General features: G+C 34.1%; 1 protein-coding gene across 4 annotated transcripts in view; it reads left to right on the forward strand.

Annotated features, from left to right (window-relative positions):
• Positions 1–24,161, forward strand: part of CHMP2B (charged multivesicular body protein 2B) — a 28,248-nt gene extending 4,087 nt beyond the window's left edge. The window contains exons 2-7 of one of the 4 annotated variants that reach the window (NM_001410777.1): positions 8,932–9,058; positions 9,304–9,395; positions 14,319–14,513; positions 18,480–18,582; positions 22,009–22,115; positions 22,317–24,161. In NM_001410777.1, coding sequence (NP_001397706.1) covers positions 8,932–9,058; positions 9,304–9,395; positions 14,319–14,513; positions 18,480–18,582; positions 22,009–22,115; positions 22,317–22,427 — 735 coding nt within the window. In that variant the 3' untranslated portion in view covers positions 22,428–24,161. Of the gene's footprint in view, positions 1–8,928; positions 9,059–9,303; positions 9,396–14,318; positions 14,514–18,479; positions 18,583–22,008; positions 22,116–22,316 lie in introns of those variants that run through there. The other 3 variants (XM_011533576.3, NM_014043.4, NM_001244644.2) reach the window with 3 other exon arrangements.

Here is a 25,952-nt window from a genome sequence, read left to right on the forward strand (position 1 = left end):
GCAACTCTTTCCTCTATTCAGATCCTACTTAACTTGCACTTTACGATACCACCTTTTTGCTTTTCTTTCCTGTAGCTTCATAGCCCTTAAATCCTTCATCCACAAAGTTGGGTATGTGATTGAAACTTGAACCCAAATCTGACTATGTTACTCCTCAGTGTAAACCCCTTTATGAAATCTCTGGCACCAACAGGATCCACTGTGAGTGTTTTAATAATGCGTGTATGGCTCTCCTTGAACTGGCCCTTCCCTTTCTTTCTAGCCATGTCTCTGGACATTTTAGCATCCAGCAGCACTGTTCTTCTGTTCATTGTTATCTCCCATACTCTTTCTCACCCTGACATATTTTTGCTTTTGATGCCCTTATGCCTAGAATTCCCTTTTTATCTTCCTCTAGCTAAGCTGAACTATCCTAGGTTTATTTCTTCTCAAAGTCTCTATGAAGTACTCCTTATGTTCCCCTTTTGTGGCATTTCTTTCTGACTTGGATTCACTAGAACCATAGTAGACCCTCCTGCACTTTCAAAGTTGGATAATGCTTATTCTGTCTCTTCTACATTCCATATTTGTAAGGGGCTTCAGAGTCTTCAGCAGAAATGAAAATATATCTGCAAGAGTTTCTAATTTAGAGATTAAATATCTAAAATAATATCATTTACTAACCAAAGTAGTATTCCAATATCCAGGGCTTAGAAGAGTCTGGATCCACACTTTGCCACCCACTGTGAACTTTAGTGCAAGTTAGAGGTAATTTGAAGAACACTACAGAGAGAAGAGGAACAAAGCTTCTTGGCTTTTGCCTCATTGGGATGATATTTGTATATGCTAGTTGTCTAGAGTTCAAAAACTGTGAGGTTTTGACTAAGTTGGGATAAATCCCCTTTCAATGTATTAGTTGTGATGCCACATTTCTGATGTTAAAAGGAAATAAAACGGAATACCCTTCAGAAACATTTTTTCTGTATTCCAGAATAAAATACACTATTCTCATGGTGGTACCTGCAGAATTCAGATCTTTCCCAGGATGCTATGTGTTCCTTTAGTGCTCCTTATTCTGGATATTTAAAAAACTCAAATTTTACTTTCTACTTAACCCCTACATTCTTGACATACCAAAGAAAAATAATTGAACATGGGATTGAGGAACACAGTATACTCTTCTGAGCATTTTCTTAGAAAAACATTCTCCCTACTTTTAGAATAGATATTTCTGTAGGAAAAATGTGTTCCCTCTGTATTTCTGCATCCCCAGCATGACAACAAAGACAGACATTTCCTTTCTGGCTACCATTTCCTATCTTCAGGTCCATTGGCCTGTGAGGCTTTTCTTCCAGGACACATTGCCTCTCATTCTCTCATTTATCTAAGATGAAAAATGTGCTTTGACAGTTTTCTGAACTGCAGTTTTATTGATGATGTTACTAAAGCCTTTGCCGTTGAGGACCAAACAAGACTCAAAAGTCTACTGACATGTGCCCATCTCAAAACCATCTTTTAGCTCTTGAAAACCAGTGGCATTTTTATGTTTATAAATTGGTTCACATGAATTCCTCAGGGCTTGAGTGACTTTTGAGAGTTACTAGTAGGAGAAAAAAATTATTTTTGCTACCGCATATGCTACTGTAGGGCTTGGCTTGACTCCCCAATTTCTCTTCAGTATTTTGCCTCTTCCAAGTCCTGCTGTTTTTCAGTTTAAACCTGGTTCTTAAGTTAGTTGGCTCTCTTGACGATGTCTAGGTAGAATAAAGCTGTTGGCATGATCCCCCTTTGTTCTTTTTGTTTTCTATAGTTGCCTTTTGTTTTCTTTTTACCGTGTATTAGAACTGATTAGTTAAGCTGATAATATTTGTCCCTGAGTGTCAGATATACCATTCCCAAAACCTGAGAAGCAAATTTGGTTTGCATATCAAATTCTAATTACTTTGTACCCACTCTCACTGTCATTTTCCTTCTGCATTTGAGTAAATCTTGTTCCTAGAACCGGAACTTTCTGGATAGTGACCTTTAATATTTCTTTTTAATGCCTTAGCTTTTGAGTTTGTCATATTTTTGCAGTTTTTTTTTCTCTTCATCAAGTCAAGATGAAACATCCTTACGTAGCCAGGACTTCTTTTCACTTTACTGTTCATTGGCAAGCTCCATCATGCCTAGTTAGCTGAATTGACGCTCACTCTGGGCTTTTCTTATATCCATAGCACAATCAGGATTTGTCCAGTGCTGTTACCAGTGTCACAGTGCCCACTATTCCCACTGACACTAGCTGTTACAGAGCTTGCAGGTAAAGTCTAAAGTAGAAGCTACCTCTTCCCTGGAGATCTTGATACCTTAAAACCAGTTAATGGAGATTATAAAGTAGGATGTGGGAACATTTTGTTTCTATCTCAATTGATATGATGATTAGGTTTAGAGTAACTGATAGGCAATAAAATCAATAGATAAAAATGTATTTTCTCAAAAGAAATACATTTAATAGTAGGAAATTTGGCTTATTAGATTAAAAAGTCTGTTATGACCTTATAGTGAAAAACACAGCATACAGTATAGTGGCTACTTCTCTAGTAGATCAGCTTGAATCCTGCTGACCGATGGTGATTTGCATACTGTCCCAGCATTCTTGAGGCATTCATCCTGAACTGCCTTGCAAACTTGAGATAGCTCCCCACCTTCCCCCAAAAGAAAGGCACTTTAAATAGTATTACTCACAAATTAATGAATGTCCATATTTATACTTGATAATTACTTTTTGCTTTTATCCTCAAATGTACAAATTATATCTGAACTAATGGTAGGGAGGACAGGCATGATTCAAGTTGGGGCTTGGCCTCAAACCCCAAGTAGAGAATTCTGGTGAGCTAGACTGGACCACATGGGAGACCTTTTTTGTTTTGTTTTTATTTTTTATTTTTTGACTTTTTATTTTTTGTAAGCAGATAAACCATATTGACTCAGAACCAAAAAAGGCAGAAACACCTTGTGTCTCTTAAGTCCAAGACTTAAGTCTATGATCTCATCACTCTACTGTAGACCTGTGTATTTCCTTCAGTAAGAAGAACCTGAAAGACTTGAGATAGGCTTTTAATGCCCAGAGTGGAGCCGGCCTGGGTGGCCTTTTCTTAAGTGTTGTGCTGGGCATGGGTGAAAAGAGGGTGGTGGATGAATCAAGCTTCCAGACCCTTTTTATCTCACTGAATGGTAAGAGAGAGAATATACCATATCATATCCATGTACCTTTGGCATTTTTACAGTGTGAAGTTTTCTATTACCACCTATTATGATGTCTTTGAAACAAACCACAAGGTAGATGAAGTCCTAGAGAATGAAAAATTGAGTGTATACCTTTATCTGCCTGAAGAAAGAAGCAGAGGATAGACAGGAGTCAAGCACTCCATCTCTCTTAGGTGGCAGCAGTACCCTGTACATGTTTCTGTCATGATCTTGCCTCACATTGAAAAATCGGGGAAGTAGAAAGTTATAAGGAAAACAGCCAATTATTTCAATGTTTCACATTTCCATTGTAGAAAGCTACCTATCATGTTTCATATTTTACTATTGTTAAATTATCTTTTTTGACAACTGATTTTGTTTTACATTTTAAAGACGTGTTAAATATGCCTGTAAGAGGAATCCTTTCACATTTCAATGTATATGTTTGTACTCCCATAGATCGCTAGTAAGTATGATATATTGGTATGCTATTTGCATGAAGAAAGGTGGGACTACAAACAAGCAAATAAATAAATATATGTATTCCCTTCTCTTAAAGAGATTGTAATCTTGGGATGGAATCATACCTACTAAGAAATAAATCTAGTGGATAATAAATTTGGCTGTAAAAACATTAAAATTGCCTCAGACCGTTCTCATATTATTCCTTCTGTATTATCTAGAAGACCAAATTATTAAATGTGGATTTAATATAGAGATTGTTTTAAAAAGAGAAGAGTAATATGTTAGTTTTATAGTATATTTCTATTGTCTCGTATGAAAATATGTTTTACTGTCTTTTCCTACTTACCATAATATGTTTTAAGGTGTTGTGATTATGTTTTAGTATGTAACATTAGCCGCTCTGAGTTTATAGCTTAGAACTGTTTAAATATTAATAGGCCTATTAACAACTATGAGGCTGTGGAATATGCAGTAGTTAATTTTCTTTATTTTTCCTTTTATGATATACAGTGACTGTTATGATACATATAGTTACATTATATTGAGAAAAATTAAACTATTTTAATTAAATTACATGTTTTGTTGAATTCTCATGTAATAATACTTGTTTTTCAGTAAAGATGGCTATATCTAGCCTTGACTCTGATTCTCAGACACCTATTGGGTGTTCAGCAATTCAGTTCACTTCTGACGGTAATTATCTAGAGTTAGGGCAGACCCTATAGGTGAAAGACAGTCCCACAAGACTGCCCTACTTCAGATGCCACTTGAAAGACGCAGATTGTGCTTCTGGTGAGTACTTCTGACTGACCAGGGTTTTCCTACAACTTCATCTTCAACTTTGATAATTCACTAGGACAACTCTCAGAACTCATCAGAGTGCTTTATTTACTGTTACTGGTTTATTTTAAAGTATACAATTAGTAATAGCCAAATGGAAGTGATCCATAGGTCAAGGGTCGAAGGTGGAGGACAGAGCTCCCATGCCCTCTCTGTGTGTGCCATCTTCCTAGCATATCAGTGTGTTCACCAATTGAGAGGTTCTCTGAATCTCTTAGGTAAGGTTTTTTTATAACCTAATCTCAAGCACCCACCTCTCCTGACATATGGGGGTGGAGTTAAAAGTTCCCACCCTTTAGTCAAGTGTTTGGTCTTTCTGGTGACTAACCTCATCCTGAGGCTATCAGCTACCCTCCCACACCTACCCCATATACTCAGATATGGTACAAAGAAGCTTGTTGTGAATAACAAAAGACATTCCTATCATTCAGGAAATTCCAAGGGTTTTAGGCCCTCTGTGCCAGGCACCCAGGATGAAGACCACATTTATATTTTTAATATCACCCTCGTAATGAAAAAAAAATGTATGTAGATAGAATTTTAGATCTTAACTTTCAGCAGTTGCTGTGCACCTGTGTCAATTATCTGGCCACAGTTTAACTTCTGAGTATAGTGGCTTGTCTTTCTGAGCAGTATTGTTGTAGCTTGTATAAGACCATCATCACCACCGAGCATGGTGGCTCACACCTGTAATCCCAGCACTTTGGGAGGCCGAGGCGGTTGGATCACCTGAGGTCAGAAGTTCGAGATCAGCCTGGCCAACATGGTGAAACCCCGTCTCTACTAAAAATACCTAAAAATACAAAAATTAGCCAGGCATGGTGGCGCATGCCTGTAATCTCAGCTACTTGGGAAGCTGAGGCAGGAGAATCGCTTGAACCTGGGAGGCGAACCGAGATCATGCTGTTGTACTCCAGTCTGGGTGACAAGAGCAAAACTCCATCTCAAAACAAAACAAAACAAAACATCACTATCTGATACTGTCAATTCATCTTATACTAGTTGAGTTTAGGGAGTCCTTAGTCCTTAGTACACAAAGGGGTTGTACTCCAGAAGTTCATTTATTATTTAAGTTTAAAAATTAGAGCACATTTTCTATGGAAACAGTGGGGTAAGTGGTAAATGTTTTTTATATCAGTCCATTGGCTTTGACAAAATAGGGAAGTAAGTCCAAAAGAGGATCGAGTGTGTTTGGGTGTTGGCGGATGAAGAGGTTCATGATTCCTTTGAAAGACAGGGAAATGAGAGCATTTTTGTTATTTGGGGTCAGCCTATAGATGTCTGAGGAAAGATGTGTATTATGGGCTGAATTGTCCCCCCTGCCTCCCACAATTCATATGACAAAGCTCTGACCACTCATGTGACTGTATTTGGGGATAGGGCCCTTAAGTATGTAATCGAGGTTAAATAAAGTCAGATGGGGCCCTGATTCAATGACTGCTATCCTTAGAAGAAGAGAAAGATCCACAAGGAAAAGGCCATCTGAGAACACAGCAAGAAGGTGGCCATCTGCAAGCCAAGGAGAGAGGCCTCAGGAAAAATTAAACCTGCTGGCACCTTGACTCCTTTCAGCCATCTGAACTATGAGAAAATACGTTTTCATTGTTTAAGCCATCTACTTTGCGATATTTCATTGTGGCAGCCCTGGCAAACTAATACAGCATGTTCCAATCCATGCTCTAGGGGACACTAGTATCTAGGAAATATTAATAGATATTTCTTAAAAACAGTTCTTAATACGTTTGGTCAATAATCTATGATAGGTTCTTCATTTAAGGATTGACAATGCATACCCATGTATTAAACATTCCCAGAAGCCTTGAAGCAAAGAAATGTGTTTAATTTTTTTTTCAGTTTCAACATTTCCCAAATATATTTATCTGTGGATCATCCATGCCCTCTCTTTTAAATGAAATGTATGTTTCCCATCAAGTCTCACTCATTTTAGAAGAAGAAAGTAGGTGGCAGGAGAGAAAGCCCCGTCCTTCTTTATCTCTGTTAGAGATGTGCTATGGTTTCATATTCCTGTATTTCAACAATAGGTAGAATAAATACCTCATTAGTAGATCCTGAGTATTAGATGCCCACCAGTATAAAATTGAGAAACAGAATAGGCAAAGGAGATACGATAGATGTCTTGTAGGTAGGATATAGGAGCTTTGACATCTTATTTTAGCTTTTATTCAGAAAGTAATTGTGGTTGATTAGTTTTATCAATATGACTGTAGTAACTATTAACTGTAACTATTATAACTATAGAATAACTATAATTATCCTAAAAAAGATAAAGATTTTTGGCTTTGATGTTTTAATTGAAGTTAAATTCATATAACATTAACCATTTTAAAGTGAACAGTTCAGTGGCATTTAGTACATTCATTCACAATGGTGTGTTACCACTACCTGTATCTAGTTCTAAAACATTTTCATCACCTCAAAATAAAATCCTGTACCCATTAAGCAGTTCACAATGGTGTGTTACCACCACCTGTATCTAGTTCTAAAACATTTTCATCACCTTAGAATAAAATCCTGTAACCATTAAGCAGTGACTTAACCATTGTCTCTTCTCCCCAACCCCTGCCATATACCAATTTGTTCTGTCTGTATGGAATTACCTCTGATATTTCATATAAATGTAATTATAAATTGTGACCCTTTCTATCTGGCATCTTCGCTTACCATAATGTTTTTGAGGTTCACGCATGTTGTAGTATGTATCAGTACTTCATTTCTTTTGATAGCTACATGATACTCCATTGTATTTATATACCACCGTTTGTTTATCTGTGCACCTCTTTGTGATCGTTTGGGTTATTTCCACCTTTTGGCTAATGTTACTAATGCTGTGAACATTCATGTAGAAGTATTTGTTTGAATACTTATTTCACTTCTTTCGATCTAAGAGTGGAATTACTAGGTCATACAGTAATTTGATGTTTCACTTTTTGAGGAATCACCAAACTGTTAAGCATAGTAACCAAACCATTTTACATTCCGACGAGCAATATGCAAGGGTTCCAATTTTCACATCTTCATTAACACTTGTTATTTTCCTTTCATAAAAAATTATCCTTTCTAATACATGTGAAGTAGTAGTATTTTCTTTAGGACTAATGTTGTGGAGCACACTTTTTATGTGTTCATTGGCCATTTGTGTATCTTCTTTGGCAAAACGTCTGTTCAAGCCTTTAGCTCATTTAAAAGTTGGGTTGTTTGTATCTCGTTTCTTGAGTTATAAGAATTTTTTATATATTCTGCATACCAAACTCTTATCAGATATATTGTTTGCATATATTTTCTCTTATTCTATAGGTTGTCTTTTCACCTAATAATGTTCTTTAATGCATAAAATTTTTAATTTTCACCAAGTCCAATTTATCTTTTTTTTCTTTTGTTCTTTATGCTTTTAATGTCATATTTAAGAATGTAATGCCAAATCCCAGGTCATAAAGATTTACTTCTATGTGTTCTAAGGTTTAGCTCTTACATTTAGGTTATTGGTCTTTTTTGAGTTAATGTTTGTATACAGTGTGACGTAAAGGTCCAACTTTATTCTTTTTCATGTGGATGTCCAGATTTCCCAGTACTATTTGATGAAGAGACTGTTCTTTCTCCTGTTGTTGTTGTTTTTAAATCTCTTTATTAAAAAGTTAGCCTAGTAAAGTAGTTAAGATCACTGGTTCAAGAGACAGAATGGTTGGATCCAACCAAATCTGGTGTTACTACTTGCTATCTATGTGGCTTTGGGCAAGTCACTTAGCCTTCCTAACATTGAGTTTTCTTAATTAAAAAATACTTTAATTCTTCAAAAGGTAGGTCTAAAGAATCCAAATGAATTCAGATAAATTAGAAAGATACTATAATTGAGAGGATACTTGCAGTTATCAGAGCATTTGTATGTTATTTACTCCTTACTATCCTTTTTTATGAAAAAGAAAGCTGAGGTTTCGAGTATTAACTAACTCTTCCAAGGTATAATCATGATGATCAAGTGGCTGAGGTGAGATTCAAATCCAGATCTGCCTCATTGGAAAGTCTGGTGTTTCAGTCTGTTAATATTTACTGCAGAAAACCAAACAGATTTAATAAACATATAACCTGTCTTCCTTCCTGAATTTCATATAGTATTAGAGTAAGGAAACATGAAAAGGGTGTGTGTGTGTGTGTGACATATATATGTGCTATATTAAACACTATACTAATCAGTTCTGTAGGGGAATATTTTATTGTGATGTAATACTTTTGGTTAAATCTCAGACTGTAGCATATTTGCATTCACCTGCTATCAATTCTTTATATTTTATTAATATTTATAATTCAGGTTTTAATATTTAATTTTTTAGCATATTAAAGTAAAAAAAATATTTTGACATCTAGTAAATCTAAGGGTTTTTTTTTGTTTTTTTTTTTTGGAGACAGAGTTTCGCTGTTGTTGCCCAGGCTGGAGTGCTGGAGTGCAATGGCATGATCTCGGCTCAACGCAACCATCACCTCCCAGATTCAAGCGATTCTTCTACCTCAGCCTACCGAGTAGCTCGGATTACAGGCATGTGCCACCACACCCGGCTAATTTTCTATTTTTAGTAGAGATGGGGTTTCTCCATGTTGGTCAGGCTGGTCTCGAACTCCTGACCTCAGGTGATCCACCCAAAGTGCTGCGATTACAGGCATGAGCCACTGCGCCCAGCCAATATAAGATTTTTTTAAATCATGATCTGTGAATCCAGTATTTTAAATGATATTGAAAATTTTACAACCCATAAATTTAGGTTTCTTTTGTGATTCTCCTAGATGTAATAAAGGAACAGAATCGAGAGTTACGAGGTACACAGAGGGCTATAATCAGAGATCGAGCAGCTTTAGAGAAACAAGAAAAACAGCTGGTAAGTAGAACGTTAAATTTCAGTTTAACTTTTCAAACAAATTTGGAAATTACTGTAGGAATAATTAGCTAACTAGGAAGAAGGCACATGGCAGGTGGTAAGTGATTTACTTAATTAAGAAATGGCAGTTAATGATTTTTGTATCTTCTGCTTACCTTTGTTTATTGTGTCATTCTGCTGACTTTTATTGGGATTCTGTGTATTCTGTTGATTATAGAATCAAATTATTCTTCAGTTTGTGAGAGTCATAAGTATCTAGGAAGAAAGATTGCTCAAGACAGAACCACCTTCTTAGTTAACAGGAAGATGAAATAGTCATGGAAAACAAAGGAAGGTTATTTTAAAAATTACATTAACTCATAGGAGTCTTGCTTGATATTTTAAAGATCGTTGTGTCTTTGACAATGAATGTACTTTTATAATAGACTGGTCTGGTTCATTTTTAAATATTCTTTATGCTATGTTTTTATGTGTATGTTGCCTCAAATCTTTAAAAAATATCTTTATTGAGGGATAATTCACATGCAATAAACTGTACATATTTCAGGTGTACAATTTGATAGGTTTTTGACATATGTATAAACTCGTGAAACCATTATTACAGTTAAGGTAATGAACATACCCATCTTCCCTAAAAGTTTCCTTATGCCCCTGGAAATCCCTCCTACGCATCCCTGCCTGTCTCCCTTTTTCCTGGTGAAGCAAATACTGATCTGTCTCTGTAGATTACTTTTCATTTCTAGAATTTTATATAAATGGAATCATATAATATCAACTCCTTTTTTATGGCATCTTTCATTCAGCATAATTATTTTTAGGTTAATTAGTGCTGTTTCATGCATTAGTGTTAATTACTTTTTATTGATGAGTATTATTCAATTGTTTGAATATTTCACAATTTGTTTATCTGTTTACCAGCCAGTGGACATTTGAGTTGTTTCCAGGTATTGGTTATTTGAATAAAGTTACTTTAAACATTCAATCAAAGTTTTTGTGAACATGGTTTTCATTTTTCTTGGGTATATTCCTGAGAGTGAGATTGCTGGGTCATAGGGTAAATGTATGTTTAACTGCTAAAAAATTAAAATTAAAGTGCTGAAAAATTTGCAGAGTGCCTGTGATGTTTTCTCTTCCCATTAGCAATGTATGAAAGTTACAGTTGTTTCACATACTTGGAGTTGACAGTCTTTAATTTTAGCCATTTTAGTGGGTGTATAGTACGTTGTCATTTTAAATTTCATTTTCATAATCACTAATGATGTTGAACATCTTTTTATATACCTGTTTACCATTTACTTATCTTTTTTGCCAGAGTGTCTATTCAAATATTTTACCCATTTTTTCATCAAATTGTTTTCTTACTTAGTTACAATAGATTTTTATATATTGTGGAAACAAATGCTTTATTAAGTATATGTTGTACAAATATTATTTCCAAGTTCTTAACCTTGTCCTTCATTTTCCTAAGTGTGTTTTGAGGAATGAAAGGGTTTTTTGGGTTATTTTGATCAAGTACAATTTTTTATTCTTTTATTCTTTTTTTCAATGTTGGAGTTTCTTACAAACGTCAATTAGGTCAAATTGGTGATAGTGTTTTCTAAGTCTTCTGTATCATTGCAGATCTTCTGTCTACTTGTCACAATTAGAGTGTATACATAAGAGTGGAGTTGTTAATATTTCTCATCCTTTTTTCTGTGATTAGTACTTTTAGTGTACTACTTAACTTTTAGTGTACTAGCCACGAGTGCCTAACTCATAGTCAGTAATATTTTCTCCTATGTTTTCTTCTAGAAATATTACAGTTTTAGTTCTTACATTTAAAACTGTGAACCATATTGAATTAAGTTTCAGTATGGTGTCAGGTAAGGGTAGAGGTTCACTTTTTGCATATGGAAAGTCAGTTGTTTCAACATAATTATTGCTGACACTTTCCCTTGTCGTCTTTGTGGAAAATCAGTTGTCCAAACGTAGGCATCTTTCTGGGCTCTGTTCCATTGATTTACATGACTGCTTTTAAGCTAATACCGCATTATTTTTGTTAATAAAGGTTTAAATAAGTCTAAAAGTTAGACAGCATTAATCCTTCCACTTTGTACTTCTTTTTTCATAATTGTTTTGGCTATTTTAGGTGCTTTGCATTTCTATAGGAACTTTAGAATACAAATCAATTTCTACAAAAAAGATCAGATTTTGATTGGGATTACATTGAATAGTTACATATTAACATTGTGTCATAAGACATATTAACATAATGTTAGTTAACATTAACAGAAGACATATTAACATTATGTCTTCTGACCTATGAAGTTATTATGTATCTCTCCATTATTTAGATCTCCATTTATTTAGATCTTCAACTTTCCTCAGCAGTGTTTTGTACTTGTTGAAATGGTTGTGTGGTTTTCTTTTTTAGTCTGTCAATACAGTGAATTACTTTGATTATCAAAAATTGAATCAACCTTTTGTTCCAGGGACACACCCCACTTGGTAATGATGTATTTTTTTTAATGTATTTTCAGTTTGCTGAAATTTTAAGAATATCTGCACCTGTGTTCATAAAACATACTGATTTGTAGTTTTCTTTTTGTGTGGTGGGTTTTTTTTGTTTGTTTGTTTGTTTGTTTTGAGATGGAGTTTCACTTTTATTGCCCAGGCGGCAGTGCAGTGTTTTTATTTGATTTTGATATCAGGGTAATAATGCTGGCCTAGTAATGCTGGCCCCATAGCTTGAGTTGGCAAGGGTCCCATACTCTTTTCTTTACTGGAAGGGTTTGTGTAGTTCTTCCTTAAATGTGTGATAGGATTCATCAGTAAAGTCATCTGTGAGTGAAGATTTTCTTTGTGGGTAGGTTATTAAACTACAAATTCTGTTTTAAAATAGATATAATAGATTAGGTTATCTGTCTTATTGAATGAGCTTTGGTGGCTTTAGTCTGTCAAGTAACTTGTCCATTTCTACTAAATTTTAAAATATACTGATATATTGTTTATAATATGCCCTTACTATCCTTTAACATCTTTAGGATAAGAAGTGATGCCCTTCTTTGCATTCTCGGTATTTGTAACTGTGTTCTCTCTCTCTCTGTCTCTTTCTCAGTTGTTTTCATCATCAGCCTGGCTAGTGGTTTATCAATTTGATTGATCTCTTATTTAAAAAAAGAAAATAACTTTTGATTTTTTGTTTCATTGATTTTTCTATATGGATTTTTCTTTGTTTCTGTTTTTGTTTTTTGTTTTTTTTTTTTTGTTTTTTGTTTTTTGTTGTTTTTTTTTTTGAGATGGAGTCTTGCTCTGTCACCAGGCTGGAGTGCGGTGGCGTGATCTCAGCTCACTGCAACCTCTGCCTCCTGGGTTCAAGCGATTCTTCTGCCTCAGCCTCCCAAGTAGCTGGGACTACAGGTGTGTGCCACCACGCCCAGCTAATTTTTGTATTTTTAGTAGAGAGGGGTTTCACCATGTTGGCCAGGATGGTCTTGATTTCTTGACCTCATTATCTGCCCGCCTCAGCCTCCCAAAGTGTTGGGATTACAGGCGTGAGCCACAGATTTTTCTTTCCTAGTTTATATATATATATTTTTTGTTTATCTTATTTCCCTACTTTGTGTTTCATTTGTACTTCTTTTTTCTATGTTATGTTGAAGCTTATGAAGTATTCATTTTTTTTCAAATACAAACTTCAATGCTGTAAACTCTTCTAAGAGCAGTTTTAACTGCAACTCACAAATTTTTATGTTGCATTTTCACTTAAGTTCAAAATATTATTTTCTCTGTGGTTTTTTCTTTAACCCATGACTTATTTAGAACTATTATTTTTAAATTTCTGCTTATTTCTGATTTTCTTTTCATATTTTTCTTATGAATTTTGAGTTTCATTGTAGTTAGAGAGCATACTTTGTGTGATTCCAGTCCTTTAAAATTTATTGAGCCCTGTTTTCTGATGTAGAATATGGAATACTTTGGTGATTGTTTAGTGACACTTGTAAATAATGTATATTCTGCTTTCAATGTTGGAGTTTCCTACAAATGTCAGTTAGGTCAAATTGGTGATAGTGTTTTTTAAGCCTTCTATATCACTGCAGATTTTCTGTCTACTTGTAACAATTAGACTTTGCTTAAGAGTGGAGTTGTTGATATTTCTCATGCTAATTATGCATTTGTCTATTTCTCCTTTCAGTTCTGTCCATTGTGTTTTATATATTTTGAAGCACTTTTATTAGGTACATACACATTGAAGATTGTCCTGGTATCTTTATGTATTGATTCCCTTATATCATTATGAAATACCCCTTTTTATTTCTGGTAGTATTCCTTGGTCTCAAGTTTATTTCATCTCTATTAATATAGCCACTCTAGATTGGCAGGTTTTGATAAGTACGTATATAGCATATATTTTTCTGTCCTTTTACTTGAGTTTGTTTTTGTATAAGTTGGTGTCTTGAGATAGCATATAGTTGGGTTTGCTTTCTTATCTAATCCGACAGTCTGTCTTACAGTTGAGGTATAAAATGGACTATTTTATTTAATGTAATTATCTATATTACTAGTTTTAGATCTATCACTTTGCCCTTTATTGCTCTGTCCCACCAACTCTTTGCTTGTATGTTTTTTCCTTTTCTCTTACCTTCTTTTGGATAGTCTTTTTTTTTTTTTTAATTTTCTTCTGGGCTCTACATGTGCACTGTTTTGTAGACTTGCTTTGTATTCATGGATGGAGATACTAGTTCTGTCCTTTCCATGTAAACATGTAGACTAAATTGCCTTCTTAGATTTCTCTTTTGCTCTATGACTTTATAATAGCTTCTTCCCCTCTTCATGATCGGGGACAAAGGGTCTGTTATGTGTATTAGATCTGTTCTTCTGAAATAAATTATTGACGACTACCCTTTAATAATTTTATTTTCTTTTGTTTGTTTCTTCTCTTAGGAATTAGAAATTAAGAAAATGGCCAAGATTGGTAATAAGGAAGCTTGCAAAGTTTTAGCCAAACAACTTGTGCATCTACGGAAACAGAAGACGAGAACTTTTGCTGTAAGTTCAAAAGTTACTTCTATGTCTACACAAACAAAAGTGATGAATTCCCAAATGAAGATGGCTGGAGCAATGTCTACTACAGCAAAAGTAAGTGAGAGCTTTTATATTCATAGATTTTTAATTTTATCAACGATATTTAAATATCAATATTGAAAGCAGATTTAAAAGCACCTCCTGGTGTATATGTGATACAAAATGTGTGTAATTTTTAGTAAAATGAGTTATAATACTAGATAATCCAGGTAATTACTTCTAGATTCTTTATTGATATGTTTTAATACAAAATTTCTTGTTTGAGGACAATCCGTTTTCTTTCTTCTTTTCTTTTTTTTTTGAGATGGAGTCTTGCTCTGTCACACAGGCTGGAGTGCAGTGGCAAGATTTTGGCTCCCTGCATCCTCCGCCTCCTGGATTCAAGTGATTCTCCTGCCTCAGCCTCCTGAGTAGCTGGGATTACAGGCATGCACCTCCACACCTGGCTAATTTTTGTATTTTTAGTAGAGACGAGGTTTCACATGCTGGCCAGGCTGGTCTTAAACTCCTGATCTCAGATGATTCGCCTGCCTCAGCCTCCCAAATTGCTGGGATTACAGACATGAGCCACCGCGCCCAGCCAACAATCCCTTTTTCTAAAGATCACATGTAGCTTCTAATTTTATGAAATTGACTTTTAAAAGTATTTGCTTTTTTCCCCTCAAATTGTCAGAAGATTTTTGACCTTCTTGTCTCATTATATGTTCTGACTACTTTTGAGTGATAATTTCCTCTTGATTCATTTTTATGAATGTGTGAGAAGGTCACATGAATAATAAGAAAGATTTATCAGAATGTTTGTCTAGAACTTATGTTTAACTTACTGTATACACACACAAACACATTTTTCTATATCTGTAATCAGTGTTTTTACTGTAGTTTAAAGGACTCTGAGTCTTTCAGTCATTTAATAAATAAAGCACTCCTTGATACTGTTAGTCATCAAAAGAGGTTAAGACAGAAACTGTGCTTTCACAAATTTTATAGTTCAATTGGAGGCTTAAGATATGTCTCTTGGAACCTACCCACTATATATCAGTCATGCTAAGCTTTATGAACTGCACAGACCTTTGAGTAGGGTGATCTAAAAGACATTGCATAAGACAAAGGTTTTAAGAATATCATTAGATGTTAGCTGTACAGAAGAGGGATTGTGAATATGAAGTGCAAAAGAAAAAAAATAGCCTCAGAGGAAAGTACAAGCTTTATGTTAGGGAAATGGTATACACAGGCAATTTATGTTATTCATAGTAGTTATGTCCCATGAAGTCGGGAACACTGAAATAGTGCATATTGAACCATTGCTCCCAGGGGAAATACTGAGTTATATTTCTGTGAGCCTTTGCCCACAACGTTTTTTCATTACCTAATCTGTACCTAACTAACCTTGTGTTTCTGTTTAAAGATGCCATATTTAATATATAGCTGATTTGCTCATATTGAGCTTATGACTAATGGGACTATACCTCATTCTGGAACAAAGCTTATCTAACGTGTATTTTCTCCATAAAGCACATCATGTCCTTCTTTCACTTAGGAACACTGGGCAGCATGTTAATACAATGCTTGGGGATCATTTTTTATCAGTGAAATCACAAACAAAAAGCACAAAAGTGAGAAAAATGTGACACTAAGTAAACTATGGAAAGGACACTTAATTTGCAGTAAGAAGGCAGAACATCCCCTTGTTTGACCTCAGCTGGAAATGTGCATGTTGGGTGACTCACATGTTTTGCTGCTTTGTAAATGTCACAGATGAGCATTAAAACACTGCAGGTATTCATTTGAGGTTACAAATAAATTTTAATGAGTAGGTAAATTCTCAGATATGGAATCTACAAATAAGGAGTATTAACTGTAATTGCATTTTAGACAGCAGAGCACATGAAAGTCGAGTGCTGTGCAAACATACAGTTAGAAGGAATAAATTCAATCTTTGATCGCAGAGTAGGTTGATTATACTTAACAAAAATATATTGTACTTGGGTGGTGGACACCCTAAACACTCTGACTTGATCACTACGCATTATATACATGTAACAAAATTTTATATGTAACCAATACATTTGTGCAAATAAAGAGTAGAATGCATCCATTTTGTGAAGTACAAAAAGTACAGTGACACATTATAATCTTTAAAAAGAGAAAGTTTCAAGCCTCAAGCCGGGCATGGTGGCTCATGCCTGTAATCTCAGCACTTTGGGAGGTCAAGGTGGGCAGATCAGTTGAGGCCAGGAGTTCAAGACCAGTCTGGCCAACATGGCAAAACCCCACCTCTACTAAAAATACAAAAATTAGCTGGGCGTGGTGGTGGGCAACTGTAATCCCAGCTACTTGGGAGGCTGAGGCAAGAGAATTGCAGAAACCTGAGAGGCAGAGGTTGCAGTGAGCTGAGATCACGCCACTGCACTCCAGCCTGGGTGACAGAGAGAGAGACTGTCTCAAAAAAAAAGAGAGAGAGAGAACGTTTCGGTATACATTTTGTTTCTCAGTTACCTTATTCTTTTTGAGTGTCTGATTTTTGAGACAGTCTCGCTCTGTTGCCCAGGCTGGAGTGCAATGGCGTGATCTTGGCTCACTGCAACCCCTGCCTCCAGGTTCAAGTGATTCTCCTGCCACAGCCCCCTGAGTAGCTGATATTGCAGGCATGAGCTACCATGCCTGGCTAATTTTTGTATATTTAGTAGAGATGGGTTTTCACCGTGTTGGCTAGGCTAGTCTCAAACTCCTAGCCTCAAGTGGCAGGAGAAAACATAGCACATTTAAGGAATAAAAGATGTGTGTCTAGAGGGCAATAGTGCAAAGTTTAATCCATGTTAGTTCTCATAGGCATATTATGGAATTTAGCTTTTAGCTAAATTTAACAGCACTGGAAAGCCACTAGAGAGTTAGGTGTGTTGGGGGTGGGGAGGGATGGGGGGAATGCAGTGTCATACTTGGAAAGAATACTTTGGCTACTGCATTGCATGCCATTGAGAAAGGACTGTTTGCTTCATATCTTTGAAATCAACATGTTTCTATTGTATGGATTCTTTTAATATACTGAATTAGCTATATAATGCATACATATATGTTTATCATCTATGTATTATGCATCATATATATAAAAATGCAGTCATGTCTGGCTTAACAATAGGGATACATTCTGAAAAATTCATCTTAGGCAATTTCATCATTGTGTAAACATTACAGAGTATACTTACATAAACCTAGGTGATACAGCCTACTACGCATCTAGGCTATATGGTATAGCCTGTTGGTCCTAGGCTACACTGTACTGGATTTTGTAGGCAGTTGTAACATAATGGTTTAAGTACCTGTGTATCTAAACATAGCTAAACATAAGAAAGGTATAGTAAAAATGCAGTATTATAATCTTATGGGGCCACTGTCGTATATGCTGTGGGTAATTAACCAAAATGTAAGCACATGAAACATGATTGTAAATAAATTTTGGTGGTACTAGAGAACATGAATCTCTTAATGAAATGAGTTGTGAATATATAATGTAAGAGAATTGTTTTCACATAGTTTTTCAAAGCTCACATTTTTATATTTTTTTAAACCATGGTTTAAAATGTGTTAATAGATTAAGTATATATGCTAGTATATCTTCTAATCTTTTTTAATTTAGACATTAAAATTTTAATGAAAGTTTTTATAAAAATTAAATTTAAAAATTTATTGACATTACCTACTTGCCACAAAAACAGGTAAATTTTATTTTCCTATTTGAATAGCAAAGGATTTTATGCTGATAATGTTTTTTATTACATAATTCCTTGCCTGCTGTTCAGATGAGGTTTTTCACACTGGTCTTTATTATATAGATGTTAAGCAGATGGTTTCCAAATGACTATTTCATTTTTTTCTAGAATATTTAACAGTCTATGTTTGATTACGGCAGGATGGATATCTTTTTAAAGCCTATCTATATTTGATGTGTTCCCTTTTGACTTATTTCATAGTAAAATTTTCATAATTATGGAAGTAACATGAATCTTGTAAATACATTTAAAGACAATGCAGGCAGTTAACAAGAAGATGGATCCACAAAAGACATTACAAACAATGCAGAATTTCCAGAAGGAAAACATGAAAATGGAAATGACTGAAGAAATGAGTAAGTTTAATAAATTATAATGAAATTTATAGTTTTCTCATCTTTGAATTAGCCATTTATTTACTATGTCTCATATTCTCATTCACGAAGGCAGAAATGATGAAACCAAAGATGATAGGCTCAAAATTCTATTTGTATTTAACTGAGGGAAGGTATAAACTATGTTATGCCACATCACTGTTACACATTGGCTTCAGCAGTTTTACTTTACTGATTAGTATACCAAAACCAACTTGTGAGGTACATAATTCATGATATAAGTCAAGCAGTTTCAGAGTTATGTCAACTCTTTGATACTGTAGAAGATTTGCCTGTATTAGAGGTAGAGGTAATGGAGCTCTTTTTTTGTTTGTTTTTATTCTCACTTTTTTTCCCTCTCACAAGAGTCTTCTAATATTTAGTTTTTGTCTTTTTGAATATAAACTAATTACATGTTATGGTGGAAACACAGAGAATACAGAGACAGAGCATATAAAAATTACCACAGCACTCAGATGTAGTTACCGTTAATGTTGTATGTTTATTTTCTGTTTTTTTCTCATAATCTTGATCTACAAAAGTGAGATCACCTTACATGTACAATTATGAATATCTTGCTTTTTAAAAACATAATAGTATAACATAAGCAGATACTCATGACCTTGACATTAAATCTTCTCTGAAGTCTTTTTAAAAAATAGCTTTAATATCATTTAACATCAGTATACCCTAGTTTATCAAACCATTCTTATGTTGGTCAATAAGATTGTTGTAAAATTTTTAACGTGTTTGATAATCCTTTGAAAAATATGTGTAAGTATTATCTTTGACTGAATTTCTTAAATCTCCTCAGAATATTAACTTTTATAAGGCTGTTGGTTTGTACTACCAATTCTTTCCGGAAGACTACACCAATTTTTATTTCACCAATAATGAATGACCGACCCTTCATAGCACCCTCGTCAACATTAGATTATTGCTTATATTATGTCAAAAACTGACATCATTGTTTTGAAAGTATGTTTTCTAAATGTTTTACAACTATAAAAAATGAAAAATAGAAAATTAAATGTTTTACAACTATGTAGGGATATACCAGTTTAGCTTTGCTTATCTGCTATCATTTTAGTTAACAGCATTTAATAACATTTAGTGTATAAAATAGTATCTAATTAAGTTACCAGGGTTAATAAACTCATTGTTCTAGTATTCTATTTCAGTATACCTATTTTTATTCTTGGTTGTAATAATACTGTATGTTTATCTTTGGCAGCTCCAAAAGTTCTGTAGTTTTTACTTCAGGCCTTTAGTTTGAAAACTATGAGTTTTTTCAGGTTGTTGAAGCATCATCAATGATTTTTTAATGACTGAGAGAATTGTTATTTATATAATGATCTTAGTACTTAACATGTGGTTTCCAATGCCAGTGATGGCAGTTCTCAGCAGAGAAATTAACTTTTCCATTAAGCTATAATGAAAAGAATCAATAACCCTTACTTAATCAGATATCTATAATACCTACTGCAGTTGTTCTCATTTGTATTTTAATACATTACAAGTTAGTCTGTAATATAATTTAATGCATAGCAAGTTAGTCTGTAGTATAATAGTAGTTATTGATGGTTACTCATTTTTTTAATAACGTAGTAAAATACACTAACAATATTTTCATCCAAAAATAAATTCAAGGTGTAAATCAGCATATCTTTTTCAACTTGGAATTTATATTCTGCCATGTTGCTCCAAAGCTTGTTCACAGTTAAGACACAAGATCGTTGGGAAATCTTATACTATACCTCTGATGAGCATTATTACACTTTTTCTGAAAGCATTCTTCTTTGTTAGTCTGATTACACCTTTCTAATCTTTTTCTTCTATCTACTTCATTCATTTTTTTTTTTCTGCAACTACTACTTTACTTATACTTATAAACTCTGCATGACCTGGACTTTGCATCTCCTGTATTACTTTGCTAAGTTACATCTGAGTAACATACCGCGAAATTATTTTTTTCCAGAGGCTTACCTTTGAGCATATTGACTAAATTCCTTTAGGGGTTTTCTGCTTACTACAAAATAAAATCCCCAAATTTTAAATAAAAGACAAGAAGGAAGTATTTAGCTTATGAAACATCTTCAGTTTATACCCTAGATGACTGACTACCTTATGTGACATTTCCAGGGAGTCATGGCTCATAGATTATAGGTTTGTTACTATAGCAGTCCTAAACCAGGACACCCTGGTAGGAGCATTGCATAGACAAGGACTCTCTTGCTAGTAAATATTAAGCCTATTTGCCAGGAGCCCCAGTTACCAACATGATTACAAGGAAATCACACTAGGTTACCTGTCTTTCTTTTTCTGGGGACATTCCCCAGATACCAGGAGAGGAACAATTTTAGGCTAGCTGCTTTAATTTTTTTTTTTTCTCCCAGACATTTGCCATTTATGTACCTTAAATAACAACCAAACAGAAGAACTTATTCCTTCTTGCTTGTGTCCCTGTTGCCTCACAGTGACTTTGCCCAGGCCATTCCATTTATGTATCTCTGTGTGGTTAAACCCTACGTATCCTTGCCAGATTACTTCACATGTAACTTCCTCCCAGTTGGATGTGATCTCCTTCTCTGAAACTTTATAATCATTTATCTTTTCTCTTACCACAATCTGTTTCTTAATTTTTTTCTTTTATACTCAAGTGTCAACTACCCGAGGTCTTTGTTTTTCTCCGTCTATATACCCATTGTATTTATATTGCATTTCAGGCACTAGATGCCCAAGATTCAAAGATAAAAAAGACATAATCTCAATCCATCAAAAATTGCTTCCCCACAACTCAACATGATGCATTCTATACAGAGTGCTTTCAATAAATATTTTGGGGAGGGAAGAGAGGTAGAAAAGGTTGTAGCAGTAATAATCCTGTTAAATCGGACATCATTCTTTGGGCAAATTTAATAAAATATTGAACCTTAGATTTCTCTAGAATATTCTACCTGTATCTTGAATGTAAATTTAAGAGGTATAAAAATATGATTATAGATATAAAAAGAGTAAATCGTTTTCCAGATATTAACAGGATATTTATTCTTGCATATTCTTCCTCTACTAGCTTAATGGATACAATTTGTGAAATAATATTTAAAAATCTTAAACATGTAGCTGTGACTATCACATTTTTTTGTCTATTAGAATTAATTTTTTAAAAAAGAGTAGACTTGTTTGCTATAAGATAATTTGTGTTGAAATGAACATTATTCCAGATTTAATGGCTCAAATATGTATTTATCAATTTACTTCACTGACATTTTGAAGGATTTTTTTAGTTTGTTCACTGAGTTTGCCTTCTGTAATATACAAAATAGTTGGGCTAGACTGTAAATATGTAAGTCTAACCTGAAGTTTGTTTGAAAGTAACTGCTTTGCTCCTTCTCCCATATCCCCTAGTCAATGATACACTTGATGACATCTTTGACGGTTCTGATGACGAAGAAGAAAGCCAGGATATTGTGAATCAAGTTCTTGATGAAATTGGAATTGAAATTTCTGGAAAGGTATGAACATCATCTTTTCTTAGTTGGAAATAGTTTCTGCCTACCACGTTTGTCACTTAATTGTTTTGTTTTTACTAGGAGGTGCATGGTTTTTATTTCTGTTTCAAAAGTAAATTAAACAGACCTCTTTACAGCACATCCTGTATGTCCTAGTCCAAATGTTTCCTAATGCACGTTTGTCTTTTTCATTGTTTAATATAGATGGCCAAAGCTCCATCAGCTGCTCGAAGCTTACCATCTGCCTCTACTTCAAAGGCTACAATCTCAGATGAAGAGATTGAACGGCAACTCAAGGCTTTAGGAGTAGATTAGTCAAAAGAAGTCATACTATTTTGCTTACTTATAATTATGTAGTATAAACCAAGCACAGTGCAGATTTCTTTTACAAAACACATGTATTTTGCAAAAAAAAAAAAAATGAAGACCATGAGTGAACAGTTGTTTCCTAACCCATGGCTATTTAGAATCTTTTGCCAAAGAATGACAATGATGCAAAAATGGGAACAGTTTGGATTTTAATTAGAACTGTTTAGGAGTGATGATGTGTAAAAAGTTGACTTCTCTTTTGCATGGCACAGAGAAATTATATTCCTTACTTCATGTCAGTTTATGTTCTAAATCTTTTTCACTGAATATAAAAATCTTGTTAAATGCCATTAGGCACCAACTTAAAGAGGGTTGTAAAAATATTAAAAGTATATCGTTAATTCTGTATCTGTTGCTTGTCTTTTGTAAGTGATTATGTGTTATGACCATAGGTGGTTACAGCTGCCAAATTATTTTTAAATGGTCAAAAAGAAGAGTGCTATTTAAACATCTGTCTTAAACAAAAACTGTCATAACTTTTCTTTTTTCTTTTTCCATTAGGAGAACATTCTAGTTGGTAAATTTCAAAATGTGCTTGACACCTGCCTTAAATAGCACAGACCTATTGTGCACATCTTTAAATTATTTCAGCTGGCAGAAAAGAATTACATTTAAAACTGAAATCAAGGCCTCAATACAAAGATTATCCTGGCTCTTTTCTATCTCTGTGGGCCTAATTGAAATATGTACTCTTATTTTAGACACGCCTCTGTTAAAACAGACCAGGTTTTCCTGGTCTCAGACCTATGATGACTTGTCCCTTTGATGTCACTACTGTGAATTGAATATAATTAGTAAAAATAGACGATGAATAAATAACACTTTATAGTAAGAAAACAATATATTTTGGCCATCTAAAAATGAGAATTATAATTATATGAATTATAATTTAAACTGTTTAATTTTGTTTAATGTGTATATTGAATCTTCCAAATTGAAGCCATTATTCTCAATTAAGTACTACAACTATGACAATGCTTGACCTACATTTCTAAAATAAAAATTCACATTTTTTGATAAATAAACTACAGTTTTACCAGAAATTACTATCTAAATGTGTATTAGCAGTATTTTTTAAGGTGAAATTGCCTTGGTATCTAATGAATGTGTAGACAGGGAGATAAAATGAAGGATTGCCAGACTAGTTAGAATAGAATTTAGGATTAGGTTAGTTTTGAAAAATGATGTTGTAATATATGGGTTCTAACACATCCTACCATAAAAACTGGAGGAGATATGTGTAACCTGGTTAATTTGGGATGGTGGACATTTTGGGCTAATACTGACAAAATACATCTTAGGACTAGTATACATGTGACACGGATTGCTAGGAGGAATGAAAAACTAAACTGTATAGTTTATATTCCGTAAACCATTTTATAATGTTCAAAGATTAGGTTTTGTTATTGATAGTATTAAATACACAGTTTCTCTTAACAGTGATGGGTGAAAACATTTTACCGGATTATGGAATGTTTACCAGAACATGTTTTGATTCTTGAATGTACATAATAATGCCATCTAACTTATTTACGTTCTTGTTTACATGTGGGAGCTTTTGTTTTCAAAAATTATTTTGTTAAAAAATCTCAATAAAGATTTATTATTGTTGTTCTTTTCTTACCTTTTTTGCTCTTTTTGGTTCCTGCTAAAATTAAAAATTTTATGCATATTTGGTAATTTTTCAAAAGAATGATCTTTATTATTTTCCTAGAAGTACAATTAGATAAACTCTGCTACTTAACATTAAAAAAAAAACTATCTTCTTAAGAAATAATTTGTACTAGACTAATGTTTGTGAATGTAATAAGCCTAAGAATTGGTGGTTTCACATTAATTTGTTCCCAGTATTCTCAGGGATTAAACATTTTTAAGTTTTATTTTTGAATGTATAAGTCCCAGTGACTTATTTCATTTCAGTCAAACATGGATACCACAAAAGAATTTGGACATAAAAGACAGAGAGATCATTCTGATTTGGCTACATTTATAAAGTGTTCTGGTGGTAGTTTTCACAATCACTGTCACTGTGAATTTGTAATGTTATTCTATCCTTTGCTAAAAAGGAAAGTTACTTTTGAGCCCTTAAAGAATAAGAAATAAGGGTTCTTATAGATTGAGCTTAATGAAAACACTGGGTTTTTTTTAACCTGTTTTTTCTAACTTCTTTAGGCACAAAAATAAATATTTAACAATTGTAATCAAATAAGAGGTTGCTGTAATCAAACAAGAGGTTGCCATAGAAAGAATAGAAGAGTATCTCTATGACTGAAAAGGATGCAGCCCAAAGCCACATTTTGTTACCAAATGAAAAAGTTATTTATGGGGGAAATTTCGGAGTACCAGAGAAGTAGAACGTCATACGAAAATGTCAATACTCATGATAACACCTGTTCTTAGAAAACATAAAATGACCATCTGTCAGATGATTATGTTGCACACACTGTACTGTGTGCTCTGAGGGGAGTATCTGGTTATTGCAAGAGCTAATGGGAAGGGGCTCAAGATTGTGACCCTATGGACCAGAGAGAGGAAGCTGTCAGCCTATGGGCTTTATGTTGTTTGACTTGCACAGTGATATATCTTTTACTTTTTGCATTTGAATGCCTTTAGAGAAAACCTGGTACTCTCTTTTCCGCCAAAATGTGCATTTCCTACCATCCTAGTTGCCATACTTCTCACCTGATCTCTGTGGGCCTAATTGAAATATGTACTCTTATTTTAGACACTCCTCTGTTAAAACAGGTGTTTTAACATGTTAAAACAGACCAGGTTTTCCTGGTCTCAAAAGAGACCTGTGATGACTTGTCCCTTTGATGCCATTACTGTGCATGAAAAGGTTTTGGCAACTTCAGAAATACAGATCAACTTTCCAGTTTCCTCTCTGTAGAAGCTGAGGGTTCAAAACCATTCTAAGCTTAGTTGTTTTAGTAGTCAATTGGATTGATGTTGCCTTAGAGGAAGCCTGAAGATTGTGAAGCCTGATTTCAGGTGTCCTACTGTTGGAACACCACATTCCCCCAACAGCTTGAAAATACACCCCCCCCGCCGCCATCCCCAAACACTGAAAATATTTCTCTGACTACACAAATCCTTTCCACCTTTAGAGATGGAAAGGTAAATTGTATGAATGAGTTTATCAGCCACCTTTACTAGGTAAAGTTGAATGTACCAAACTAGTAGAAATGACAAACATCTTTCTTCCATTTTAATGGACAAATCTACTGAATTCCTGAAGACTTAAAGAGTTCACAAATATGTAAGAGGGAAAGACTATGGCTACAGTCAGCCTTTGTCATTTATTCCCCAAAGTATGAACATATCAGTCTACACAGTGAATTGTATGTCATTTGTTTAATTGAGGTTTAGGATTCTAAATGGCATTAACCATTTTCTATTGTTTTGAAGATTAATCAAAATAAAGCATTATTTTAATGTAGTTAGAAAGTAGTCTCAATATAAATGAGTTTT

The sequence above is a fragment of the Homo sapiens genome, chromosome 3 (genome assembly GCF_000001405.40).
Source record: "Homo sapiens chromosome 3, GRCh38.p14 Primary Assembly".
Lineage (NCBI taxonomy): Eukaryota > Metazoa > Chordata > Mammalia > Primates > Hominidae > Homo > Homo sapiens.